The sequence below is a fragment of the Homo sapiens genome, chromosome 3 (genome assembly GCF_000001405.40).
Source record: "Homo sapiens chromosome 3, GRCh38.p14 Primary Assembly".
Taxonomy (NCBI): Eukaryota; Metazoa; Chordata; class Mammalia; order Primates; family Hominidae; genus Homo; species Homo sapiens.
Genome location: NC_000003.12, coordinates 189,825,255 through 189,839,376, shown reverse-complemented (window position 1 = coordinate 189,839,376; position 14,122 = coordinate 189,825,255). Strand labels below are relative to the sequence as shown.

General features: G+C 37.6%; 1 protein-coding gene and 1 non-coding gene across 14 annotated transcripts in view; both read right to left on the bottom strand.

Moving 5' to 3' along the window:
- The window catches only part of TP63 (tumor protein p63), a 300,531-nt gene that overhangs the window by 57,900 nt on the left and 228,509 nt on the right, over positions 1 to 14,122 (bottom strand). The window lies entirely within an intron of this gene.
- On the bottom strand, positions 9,368 to 9,455 carry MIR944 (microRNA 944). Its single transcript, NR_030642.1, has one exon. It is a non-coding gene; the product is annotated as a microRNA 944 (primary transcript).

The window sequence follows — 14,122 nt, the reverse complement described above, 5'->3', positions numbered from 1 at the left end:
AGTCCAGGTTCCACTTTGTGCTTCTAACTGCAATATTTAAACCGTAATCCCTCTGTACTGTCCTTCCGGCAGGAATTAAGTCAGATAAGCAAAGAGCTTTAAATCTCTTCATGAAAGAGTGCCGACAATAATTGTTGAGAATCACTGTTATTCTGACATTTTAGATCCTTCATTCTTCTCTCTTCAGAGAAATGGATGCCCAGGTGTAAATATAATAGGATTTAAAAACGAGGAAAATGAGTAGCAAATGGATTTCAAAACATAAACAGAGTCCATGCTCATTGGTATACTTAAATCTACTTTTTCTTTTTCTTTTTTTTTTTTTTTTTTTTTTTTAGCTTAGGATACTAGTTGCTTTTTAGTGCACCTTAAAAGTGAACCTGCAAATGCTGAGAAGTTTAAGGGACTTTAAGGTCCCTTCAACTACAGCTGTCCCCAAGGTTTCAAGTGAACAATAATGAGATAAATTTAGTTCAAGGCTCTACTATCCTATAGGCAAATTGCTGAGTTTCTTTATTCTAGATAAGTACAGGAAACCAATATGCTGAAATACTGAGATCCTAGGGGTATTAAGATACTGCCAAAAAGGAAAGGTGTAACTTAATCAATTAGATCAGATTTGCTCTTTAATACCTTCAAGCCAAGTTTTAAACTTTTGCTCTCCTCTCCTTTTTTAAGGGAACCCCTGGATAATTGAAACAATTTTGAGACATCTATTTCCATCGTTGATAATTAGGTACCGTGTGGGCCACTAATACATAAGCATCTGTGTTGGCTGGGGGTAGGTGTAGGGGGTGCTTGGGGAGAGATTTAAACAAACCCTTTCCTCTACTTGCAACATCTCTTAAAAGCTTGTCATCATGTTACTTCCTATTTCTTTAGAGTTCATTTGTTTAAGACGGAAACGTGCTTCATCTTGTTCGCTTTTTCTGCATTCTTTGTAAACTTAATATTCTAATTAGCCCCAACACGGAAAAGAATGTAACACAACTGTCTTAGTTGTGCCATAGAGTTAGAATCTATCTATTAACATGTTTTAGTAATAACAAGAAAAATAATAAAAACAAACCTATTATGAGAAGCTGCCCATGCCAATAAATTTGAAACATTACCAGGAATATAAAGGAAGGAAGGAAACAGGTGAAGACACTCACAGCAACAACAAAAAGGTAGGAAGAATAAATAGGAGAGAGGAAGGGAGGTAAGAAGGAAGAAAGAGAAAAGGAGGGAGGGGGGCTCAGGAAACTGTGGAAAACAAGTGTCATAGCTTAGCTCATATTTAATCTTGTCACCTCACTAATCCTGACCTCACTATGGCAAGAGAGATGAAAAATTTCCTTCTGCTTAGAGAGTTGGTGATTGAGCTGGGAATGGGGTTACCAGATAATCTCCAGCCTAATTAAAATTTAATTGTAAAAGCAATGAAATTTTTCAGCATAAGTAAGGAATATTGGCCAGGCACAATGGCTCATGCATGTAGTCCCAGCACTTTGGGAGGCCAAGACGGGAGGATTGCTTAAGCCCAGGAGTTCCAGACCAGCCTGGGAAACATGGCAAAACCCCTGTCCCTAAAGAAAAAAAAAATACATAAATTAGCCATCAGGAAGCTGAAGTGGGAGGACTGATTGAGCCTGAGAGGTAGTGGCCACAGTGAGCCATGATTGCACCACTGCACTTCAGCCTGGGTGACAGAAGGAGACTCTGTCTCAAGAAAACAAAACAAAATAAAACAAAAGTAATAACTATTGCATGGGATTCCCTTATGCTAAACATTTTTTCATGGTTTATTTGAAATTCACATTTAACTGACATCCTTGGTTTTTATTTGCTAAATCTGGCAACTCTAGCTAGAAAGGATAAGTAAAAATTTTAAGAAGTTTCTTAAATTTCTTAATTTAAGATTTAAATTTAAAATTTCTTAATTTGAAATTGGATTTTTGGAACCTGAAATTGGAAATTTCAAATTTAATTCCATATGCTCATCATCTATATTCAATAGTTAACTAACATTTTGCCAATCTTCAAGGTAGATTGCCAGGATGATAACAACTCTTAAGTTTCTGGTAGATAGATGAGGATTATTAACCAAATTACATTAAATAGCCAAATTATGTGACATAATTTTGGTAGGCAGCAGTGAGAGGAGAGAGAGAGAGAGAAAAAAAAAATGTTTTGAACAGAGGAAGTAGCAGGAGACAGGGCATGCAGAAGGGAAAACAAAACAAAAATCATCTTTTGTTGACTGCGAAACACCACCTCTGCCTGTTGGGAAGAGTATATATTTGGAAGCATCGTACACCGTGAAGAACACGGTACTCACAGAGGCAGAAGGCTCATTCCCCTACTTTCCAAACTGAGGTATAATCTCAAGAAAGGTTACATAACTTTGCATGTGAGAAGTGAGAATAACACCTGCCAATGTGACAGGTTTGTTATGAGGATTAAATGTGATAATACATATATGTGTGTGTTTTGAAAAATATAAGACATTTTCCAAACAGAAAGGGATTATTATTAGCCGTGGGGAATTGGGCCAAATACAAACACTTTGGTCAGAGTGTGACATGCTTACAGGTCATCATGCAGTCACCAACAATGGACCATCAGCAATCCATGAACTGAGGCGAGTGTTAGAAAGATCCTTCTGCCTGACACTGAAGAGGAAGAGTAGGAAAAGAAAATGTCTAGGAGCACTGATGGGGCTTATCACACCAGTTGAACAACAGGTAGGTGTATGGATGGGTTTGCCAAGGAACAGGGATATTAAAATTAGGGAAAAGAGACATTACCAAAACCAAATTAGCAGGATAGTACCAAGTTTTAAGTTTCTGGTAGATGAATGAGAATTATTAACAAATTATATTAAATAACCAAATTACACTACGTAATCATTTCTACAGGTTACAAAGCAAAAACGCTTTGCTTTGCCCAACCCTATAAGAGTTATACTTTCCAAGGCTAGCAAACACAGAAATACTGCCTACAAGTCCCCATGCTAGAAGGTAGCATTCCATTTTCTTAGGAGAAAATTGTCATTAACAAGTGCTGATCATGTTTGTAAACCTCCAACACTTTGGGTACATTCAGTTTCATATTGTTTGCCAGTTGAAATAAGAAAAACTCCTCTTAAAACAGGGATTCTTTGATTTTAAGTTGCACGTGTACATTTGATTAATTTCCTTAGAAGAACCAAGTAAAAACAATCTCTTCTTCCAAAATTAACAGTTTCCTGAATGTGGAATATGGACAAAACCCAAAGTGAAATCTCCTGAAAACAGCAAATACTCATGGAAATAAACCACTACCCGTGTGATCAAAGGAATAGACACTCTGAGCACTTGCTTCAAAGATAGACCCATTGATAGGAAGTCTGACGCGTGAGCCAAATCTTGCCTTCCCCACTTTACATTATTATTATTATTATTATTATTATTATTATTATTATTATTATTATTATTATTTTGAGATGGAGTCTCGCACTGTGGCCCAGGCTGGAGTGCAATGGCACGATCTTGGCTCACTGCAACCTCTGCCTCCTGAGTTCAAGTGATTCTCCTACCTCAGCCTCCTAAGTAGCTGGGATTACAGGCACCTGCCACCATGGCCAGTTAATTTTTTGTATTTTTAGTAGAGATGGGGTTTCACTATGTTGGCCAGGCTGTTCTCGAACTCCTGACCACCTGCCTCGGTCTCCCAAAGTGCTGGGATTACAGGTGTGAGCCACTGCACCCAGCCGCCTTCCCCACTTTTTTGGAACATTTTAAAATGCTTTGAACCCAGACTTGCTTTAGTTGTAGGCAAACAGTTGCTGACAGGACAGGAACTGAGCCTTCGGTAAGAATGTATTGCAATGCTTTCATTATGTTAATTATATCTGAGACACCAGGAGGCTGGTATATACACACCATGGTAAGTATTTCTATTCATTTGATTTTACTGGGCACCAGATTCATTTACAATTAGGACACAGTTAGGACAAAAAAAGTAAAAACGATACAGTTATTCCCAGTCAGAGAACCAAAGAGAGGAAATTGGCAGACATCTTTTGTTTTACATGCCTTCATAAACTATAATTTATTCTCTCCCCATTTAGCCTTTTATCATTAGGAGTTTAATTTTTATAAAATATAACTATTCATCTATGTCCTTCTAGACAGTATAACTAGACCCTCCATCTAGTTTAATAAGCTATACAGAATCTGAGAATATAAAGTTAAGAAGATTTTAATCCTGAAACTCTAGAGCTTTATATGTGTGGGATCTCAAACTAGGAGATTTGACTCCCTCCACCAAGGTCAAAGTGAATTAGGGACTGCATGAAAAACCCAGCATTTTTGTCTCACAGGACTCGGACGATCCATAAGATCAGGTCACTCTTCCCTATCTCAGTGAAGATTTAAATGTTTAGAGACATATGACCCAGTTCTCTGTCTTCAAGCTTAGAAAAAATGTACCGTTTGACATTTAGCAAAGACAAAAAAAAAAAAAGGAAAAAAACCATATGAAATCAACATCTATTATGTTTCAACAAAATATCAAAACATATATAATTGCTTTTTCCAAAAAACTGACCCATCCTAAGGAAAGATTTAGGTGCAGAGATTTAAGAATTGTGCTTCTTATGAAAAAAGGGTGTGCTTGCTCTGTCTAGAGCACCAAACTCTCTCATCACACCACTTGGTTTATGGTCTTAATCACCAGACAGATGAAAGCGACCTGCAAGTTTGGGAACCCACAGCCCAAGTGCTAGGAAGAATCTGTTCTGTGTGAACAGCCACAGCGCAATTGTGGAGATACATGGCACAAGTACACAAAATAAACAGTAACGTATTTTCTTTTCTTTTTGGTAGAAATTCCTAATGGAAAATTCCTGATATAGACTTTATTAGGAGGAAACGCGAGTCCATAACTGTAAATGGTGCAAAGCCCACTTTTTCCACCTTATTAGCAAGTGCATAAGCATAAGAATCTATGTTTTCCAAAAATCATATTAATAATTTCCCCTGTCTTTCCTCCCAAAACTTAAAAAAAAAGACTGTCAGACTATCAAAGCACTGTCAGTGCCAGTAAGACACATCATTAAGGTGAGTAATTTTCCTGTTTACTTCAAACACTTTTTTTCCCAAACTCCAACCTGGGCAGGTCTGATCAGGTTAGGCTTTGGAACGAGTAAAAGCATCCCCAATTTCTACATAAGCGCTGCAGGCCATGGGCAAAGACAAGTCTCAACTGAGCTCTCCACGGTAGTCAAGCTTCCCGGCGCCTCTGGTCTTGTCTCCCTCATACCTAACAAGTATCGTCATGTCTCTCAACCTTCAAAATCGGTTTATCTGCAACACAAATGCACATACGCTCACATACATCCTACTTCTTTTACTTTTACTTATAATTAATATCTACATACATTCTGAACACATTTGCTTTATAACAATTCTTTCCTATGCACTTTTCAAAAGAAAATATTTTCCATTCTGAATTCAGGCATTCTTCATGTAAAGACAAATGGCAGAATGCAAAATAATAATCGTTTTTAACTGCAAAATGCTGCTCTAATTTTTAAATTCAGTGGAGTAGAGATCTGGCTTTTCTATTTTTTCCTGGAAATAGATACCGCTGTCTTAATTAAATGTTTTCAAGATCTACCTTTATGCAAATATATCTACTATGTAATTTGTGTTTTCTTTAAAAAAAAAAAAAAGAGAGAGAGAAAATTGCTACCCTTGACATAAGATTCCTCTTTCAGTGTGATCTGCTTCTAAGAAGACAGGAAGCTGGAATTAAGAGTTTAGTATTGGATCTATTTTGTCAACGTGGACAGATTGGTAGGTCTCAAGTTCACTTCTCAATCTATAAAAAATAATGCATGAAAATACATATAAGTCCCCAGGTCACAGGGGAATTGTGAGTTCTACTGTTTGCAAAGCGTTTTGCATTCTTTGGGTAAGAGGTGTTGGGCTTGTTATGAAGACACTGTACTTACATAATCCTAAACATGCTCATAAATTGGAAAGGCAGTTTTCAAGCCAAAGGCATAATGTTCTTTTACACTACAAATGAACTTGTTTATATGCTGGTCTGAGATACTTATTTGCTCCTACTCAGTCACCCTGTTTTCTTCTTGAGGCCATCACTATCATCACTGTTTCTTCCCCTCACTGTGCTGAATTTGTCATAGATAGAAGAGGGAAATAGAAGCAAAATTAAGTAATGAATAACAAAAGGCTTAAACTAAATGGAAACTCATTTTTCAACCTCATGGTGGTGGAGGCAAAGTGAGGAAACATGAAAGGAGAGAGAAGGCCTTAGCAAATTGGATTCGATTTACTCTCTATCAATAAGATACAAGGGAAGATCCAGTCTCACCTTTGCCTCTGCTCTCTTTATCTCATTAAACGTGCTTAAATTTGGACAGGCAAAAATGAGAGCTGTCAAATAGTAACAGACGCATAATAGTAAAAGTCAGAATACTAGTAGGAAGTGCTCTGCATCCAAGGATCACTCATCCCTAGACTTATAGCATAGCTCTCTATTCATTTGGTAGGTGACAGGTGTTGTCAGGTCTAGAAAGACACATAACTCTGCATCTGTGAAATGGGAATATTAATCCTCCATCCTGGAGAACTGTTACATGAACCAGTTCCCACAGTGTAAAGTGTCTTATGGAGTTTTTGACCTGGTACTCAACATATATTAACTACCAGTTTTATCTCTATCATCTAAATTTTGGAGTTGGTCATCAGTGGCCAACTCCTGACAGCATAATAATACACACAAGATAATAAGCATAACTGACTATGCGGCCAGAGGTTAAAATTTATGTCAAACTTCATGCTTTATTAAAAAATGAAGGAATAAGTCAAGAGCCTTTTATTTTACCCTTGCTTGCTATGTCACTGTTGTAACTTTTAGGTTTAGCTGGCGAGCTGTCTCCTCCTGCAGCTATTGTACTTGAGTTGTACTACAGGTAATATAACCAACTAATGTAATGAACGATATATACTAAGGAAAGTTGGCCCTGAGTGACCTCCTTGGATTGAGGACTTTGTCTCTAACAACTGTCCATCTGTCAGTCCCTGGGGTTGATTATAAGAAGAACAGTATACCCCAACAAGCCCGATGCAGAGAAGTCTCAGGTAACTTTCAGGTTTTCCATTTGCCAGTCATTTAGAAAAACCCCAAGAGGAGAAAAAAAATTAGGATGCTGACATCATCTGAAGATTCATTTCCCTCTATTAAAAGCATTATAGTGCTGGGCGTGGTGGATCATGCCTGTAATCCTAGCACTTTGGGAGGCCAAGGCAGGTGGATGATGAGGTCAGGCGTTCAAGACCAGCCTGACCAACATGGTGAAACCCTGTCTCTACTACAAATACAAAAATTAGGCGGGAGTGGTGGTGCATGCCTATAATCCCAGCTACTCAGGAGGTTGGGGCAGGAGAATCACTTGAACCCTGGAGGCGGAGGTTGCAGTGAGCCGAGATATCACGCCACCGCCCTCCAGCCTGGGTGACAGAGTGAGACTCCGTCTCAAAAAAAAAAAAAAAAAAAAAAAAAAAAAGAGCATAATAGCTTTCATGGCACATCAAGTTCTGGGACAAAAATTACACTGCCAGCTCTATGTGTTATAAATCAAAACCTACTACTTATCAGCCAAATACCACTTTAATTACAGTGTTCTCGTATTAGAGAAAGAAGATTAGGAAGGGTAGGAGCTCAAACGGTGCAGAATGGGAAGAGCTTCATGCTGCTATCATCAAATGAGCACCTGGCCAGAAAATCAGAGTCTGAACTCCACCATCTAGTAGCCTAAAGACTGGGGTTTGTCACTTTACCTGTGAGCTTCCGTGTCCTCATCCTCAACATGAAGATGAAGATAACAACACTGAACTTGGAGTGTGGTTGTGAAGCTCGAATGATATCATGGAAATGAAAATGACCTGTGCATATAAATGTATAAATAAAATCAGTATTTAAAAAGTAAATTAAGAAATACCCTCACAGCAAATTAGAAAACTGTCTGCCTATTTAATCTGCCCTCTGCAATAGATTTATAAAGTCAATCGATTAGACGGAAAATAAATAAGGATCAATAACCAACTCAAGTAGAAATATTTAAGAAAGAATGCAGGACCCAAGGAACCTCAAACAGCAGATTTCAATTAGGATCCTCCACATCAAAATTATAAGTGCTTTTGTTGTTGTCACAGATAGTGCAAGTCTGTTCTCACCTCATGAGACTCTGAACCCCTATGGGTTTTTATTTGAGGGGAAGTTGGCAGCATTGGCACTGGGAAGATAAACCACACCAACAACAGAAATACAGGCTGCCCTCGCAGTTACTACTTCTGGCCCATCTCATCCAGCAAAAGCTGGTAGAGGAACTTTGGTGTTTTTCCATTTCCCTAGTATTGTAGTGAGATAATTTTACACATTTGCAAACCTTAAATAATCCTACACAACTCCTTTGTGTTTAAATTGCCCTAGACCTTATAGGTGAGGTTTATTCTCCCTTTACATATTCATTCCCTTCTTCAAACAATATTTACTAAGTGTCTATATGCTCCCTTCCTCCTTCAAAGTCCCAAAGAAATTTAATAGTATCTTTATTTTTTCTTGCGTCACATATTAATTTTTCTGTTATGATAATTATGGGCCTTTATTTGTCTTCCCTGCCAAGAGACTATACATTTCTAAATGGAGACCTTACCTTATCCATCTTTTACTCAAGTGACAGGCATAATAAAACAACAGCAGCAGCAACAAAATTGCGTGTTATGTAAACAGAAATGATACTTGTGTAAAACAAGTAAATGAATATATTTGAGATAAGCATATCATTGTGGTTTGTGATGAAAACTCACTATGATGAAAGGAAAAGTGATGACTTTCAACTCCTGTTAGTAAACTGGAGGTTTTTCAGTCCAATAAAATTAATGCTGATATCCAATTTCCAATGGTTTCAGGATATACATTTTTTTTCAAATTTTATAGAATGAATTTTGTCTCTATCCCTTGCCATGAAAATCAGAGTTGCAGTAAGTCAAATTGAAGGTAGATGTGTTTTGTTTTGTTTTGTTTTTCAAACACACAAATTATCAATCTTTTGTATCAGGAACTCTGGCAGACTGTTACAACGGTAGCTCCTGACTACAATTTGTAAAGGTCTAGCTTTTTTCACTAGACAGATTCTCCTAGTCAGATCTCAAATCTGAACTCCAGATATACTTGAACTGTGTTTCTATAACCAACAGTCCAATGCTCTCTCACCAAAGCCCCATTCCCCATCCTATTCCAACCCTACTAAATGACCGTTGGCCTTTCTTTCCAGTGTTCAAGAAAATGAAGGTTACAGTGGAGCTAATACTTAATCCCAGACACAGCTCATCCGATGTACAATAATTTCTCTTTATACAATTTAAGAAAATATTGTATATCAGATGAGATGTGTCTGGAACATAAATACAAATTTACTGCAGAAAAATTGTTTATCTTGGTTGAAAAAAATTAAGGTTATATTGGTCTGGTAATGAAATAATTAAAAGGGCTAATATTTGAAAAAAACTGTCAGCAGTATAGAAATCTTTGAAACTGAATTTGTTAGTTGGTGAAAAAGTAATGGCAAAACCTGCAATTATTTTTGCACCAACCAAATAGTTAGAAGTGAAGTAAATTTTTATTTTTCTTTAAGAGCTCCAAACTTTCCAGAATCTTTTTCTCTTCTAAGTCCTCGCCAGACTCTAGGCTTTTAGTACCCTGCTCCTCCAAATCTAGTCTCTGCCCATTCCTTAGTTCCAAAGCTGTTTCCACATTTTCAGTGAAATAAACTTTCATAGAAGCCATTCCAAATACTTCCAGTTATAACTCTAAAATAACACGTGCTGTTCTCCAGCTCTTCCACTTCCTCCCCTAAGATCTGAGACAAATAATCCAGTAGACATATAGGGAAAGTAGATTTTCTAAGAATTGATAGTTGGATGCTAACTTGTTTACATGGGTCTAGTTTTCAGAATAAATGCTTAAAACTCATATTTAGTGTCAATTAGGGCAATCTCTGTAGTGTATTGCTCAGAAACAGCATGTTCAAGGCATGAAAGCAGGAAGAAACATTTAAATGATTTCCTGAATCCTCTTTTAAGATGGTTGGGTCTTGGGTCTGTAGACAGGTGATTTACAGAGTCTTCTCTCTTGGTCCAGCTCCTATAGTTAGATTTGGTAATATGGTATCTGCCAAGATTTTTGAATCCTTCTTTGGGTACCAGTAAAAATAAAAGTACTTTATTATCAGTAAATATCATCTGTAATAAATTTATGGTCTTTAGTACTCAGCAAAAAAGAACAAAGAGATTTTATAATTCTATTCACTGAACATTCACTGAGGACCAACCACGAGTCAAAGGCCAAATACATTTTCCTAGCTTCTGATTTTGTAAAATGGTACTGCTATTTATAATAATAGCATTCATTTCATTACGCTCAAAACACTGAAGTGAAAGATGCTTCCGTTTTCTTTAAGCTACTATTAGATTATTTTCATTCAGTAAAAGGACGAAAGTGTTAACTTCCATACCACGTTAAGAAATAGGAAAAAGATATCAAGATTTAGCTCAATATGTTTCTTTTACAGATAAGAAAACTGAAGCTCAAAGCAGCAAAACGGCCTAGCCAAAGCCATCAAGCCAATCATTGGCTATTTGGGCACATTTCTTCCTTCTTAAACCAATAAATTTTTTACCCAAACATTTCTAGTGCAAGGCAGAGACATAGAGAATATAAAATGTTCTTTTGTCTGACCAATTACAGGTATGTGGTTCTTCTCATAGTCAAAGCAGAAGGATAAATAGCCAAGACTAATCCTAACTAAAGAAAGCAAAGCATGGCACCAAAAAGGCCCCAAACCTTGAGGAATATATCATTCAACTAGTTTCTTGGTACAGTCCTTATAAGAAGTACCTCTAAAACCAATGTCTAGAAAATGTTACAATGGTAGGAGTCAAAATAATCCCAATTACGGAAAATAGGTTTCTATCTCTAAAATATATACTGCAAAACCACCCCAAACCCCACACTCACCTCCTTTCCCCTTTGCCTGCCCATATCTCCGTATCTCTCTCTCTTTTTTTTTTTTTTGCTTGTTTTGAGATGGAGTCTCGCTCTGTTGCCCAGGCTGGAGCACAGCGGCACGATCTCAGCTCACTGCAACCTCTGCCTCCTGGGTTCAAGCAATTATCCTGCCTCGGCTTCCCGAGTAGCTGGGACTACAGGCGCCCACCACCTAGCCCAGCTAATTTTTGTATTTTTAGTAGAGAAAGGGTTTCATCATATCAGCCAGGCTGGTCTTGAACTCCAGACCTCAGGTGATCCACCAGCCTCGGCCTCCCAAAGTGCTGGGATTACAGGCATGAGCCATTGCACCTGGCCCCCATATCTCTTATCTAAAATATTGCAACACCTTTCCAATTAGCCTCCCTGCTTTTAGTCTCCCTACCTCCAAACTGCTGCCAGTTAGCTTCCTCCAACAGAACATGATGTCATCTCCCAACTCACAGCCCTTCCATGTTTTCTTAACACTTGCAGGACTAGAGCCAAACTCCTTAGGGTGGTATTCACAGCCCATCTCAATCTGGCTCTGTGGACTTCTCTCTAGCCTCATTTCCTGCTACTCCTGTTCCTGCAAACTTTCTATGGTCCAGGTATACCAAACTGCTTCCCACTCCTAGACTTACATAACACATTCATGTCTCCATGCCTTTACTTACCCTGGTCCCTCTACCTGGAATATCTATTCTTATTTTTCCCAAGACTTTGCTTATCCTTGAAGGCCCAACTTTAAATGCAAAGTTTTCTGTGAAACTAGCAAAATCAGTTTTCTGTACTACATTCCACTTTGTTTAGGTAATAGGTATTACCTGAAAAATATTTGTTAAGACCCATTATATGTGCCAGCACTAAGACCCAGAGATGAAAGGTCAAAGCTACTGCCTCTGAACTCCTGAGTACGTGTCTGTAAGGGGGAGCTGGTGGGGGGTGGGTATCACAAGGCAAGTGTTCATCTACAATTAATGCTTCCAATGAGTTTTAAAGAATAAGTAGGAGTCTGCATGGCAGACAGAGGTGGTGGTGGCTAGGGGAACATTCCAGACAGATTATAGCACCTGTCACACTAAATTACAACTAGGTTTATCAGTTTGCCCTTCTTGACTGTGAGCTCTTTGAGAAAGGGCTAACTTATCTATTAATATAATTACCCAATAGTGTCTAGCCTTAATAATAACTAGCACAATTTATCAAGGCCCTGCTCAGTGGCAGGAACTATATTATGGGCTTCATATATTGAACTTTCAAAAGCCTTCAATGGAGATTATTTTCACCTCACAGAAGAGAAAATTGAGTCTCAGAAGCATCAGGTCACTTGCCTAGTCAACCCAGCTAGTCAACTGTGGAGTTATATCTGTTTTTCTTCAATGTGTACCTTCCAGTGCTTAGAAAATGCATGTTGAAACTAAAGGTGCTGTTCAGTGAACTCTAACATTTGAGACCTCATAGTATGGGGCCTTCAACTAAGCCTCAACAAACGCATCTTGGGACATGTGTGCACATGCATACCATACAAAATTACAAGGCACCAGTTGGAGAGATCCTATGAGACTCATGCTATGCGTCCTCTTAGTTACACCAGTTTCGGTGGTTAGTAATTCTGAAGCTTATAAGGAGATAGAACTGAAAATATTTCAAGCCAAAATTATTAATACTGAATTTTCATGTTGTGGAGCTCTACACATATCCTGCAACTTACTGATAAACAATCCTTTCAGTTTTTTAATTGGGATATTTCACTCAACTCCTGACTTTGGAATAGTTCCTTCGTATTCTATTTTACGAATATTTCCCTCAAATAAAAACTGTATGTGTCTTGGAATGCCAGAAAGTTAAAAATAAAACAAAAAATATACACAGTATCCCTTCCTAGAGAGACTCATTGTTTACATCACGGTGTCCATAAAATCATTTTTCAAGTAGTATAAGCAAAAGGGAAGTTAAATTTCTGGATGTGGACTAATCAATGCCTTTTCCAAGAAGCTCATCAAATATAATCAACCTACCTTCATTTAAGAGACAAAATGCTTCTTTTGAATTTTCCAAGTCAGAGGATAACATTTGTCCTTGCCTTAGTCAATACTTACAGTGGGCTCAGTCAGTATGTAAAGATTTGGTTTTATGAACTAGAAAATTTTAATTACACTAATTTCCCCCATGGAAGCTCAAAAGATTCATTTAGCTAAAAAGAACCATAAAACTTTAAGTTTTAAATGTCCTTAATATTTTTCTCACCATTTCCTATTTTTTTCTTCCCTTTTCTGCCCTGTCCTCCATGTAGCTCACGTCCTTCTTCAGAGAAAGAAACAAGGAGCAAGAAGCAAGTGGGGGAGAGAGAGAAGGAGGGGGAAGGGTGGAGAGGCTGCAGGGAAGAGCAATCTTTCTTGTAAACTCTGAATACTGGGTACAAATTACAGCGCATACCCCTAACTTTCTTTCCAAATGATGTGTTGAGAAGTACATGACTACCATAAAATATTATTTTTTTTAAAGCACGTGGATTTAAGAAGATGCATTAGCACTACATAAGCAATGGCTGTTAAAAACAAAAGAGAAGGCTTCCACTATCTTTCCTAAAAGGCATTTCCTATTATGTGTAAATATATGATAAAGGGAAAGAATAGAGAAGACACAATTAAAAATCATGTTGTTTAATAGATACTGATATTATTTAAGCTTATTCTTTCTTATTGACGTCCATCCCCAATTCTGTTATTTTATTTTTAATCAAGTTTTGAGCAATACCTCTGGGTATTTTGAAGCAAATATCCATGTATTTCCCTTTTATTCTTTGCATAAATTCTCTACCAAGAACATTTAAAAACGTGGAAAGCATAATTTATTTTTGCCTGCTGCTGGATTAATCGGTAGACTCACGAATGATTGCAGATATTCCTAATACTTTTCTATCTACTTCATATTGATAACCATTTTTATATCACTTAGCTCAATATTGGCACTGCTCAAACTCCAACAGGGTGTATAGTTTAGCCACCACGCTGTGAATGTATATGCCTATTATATGAGG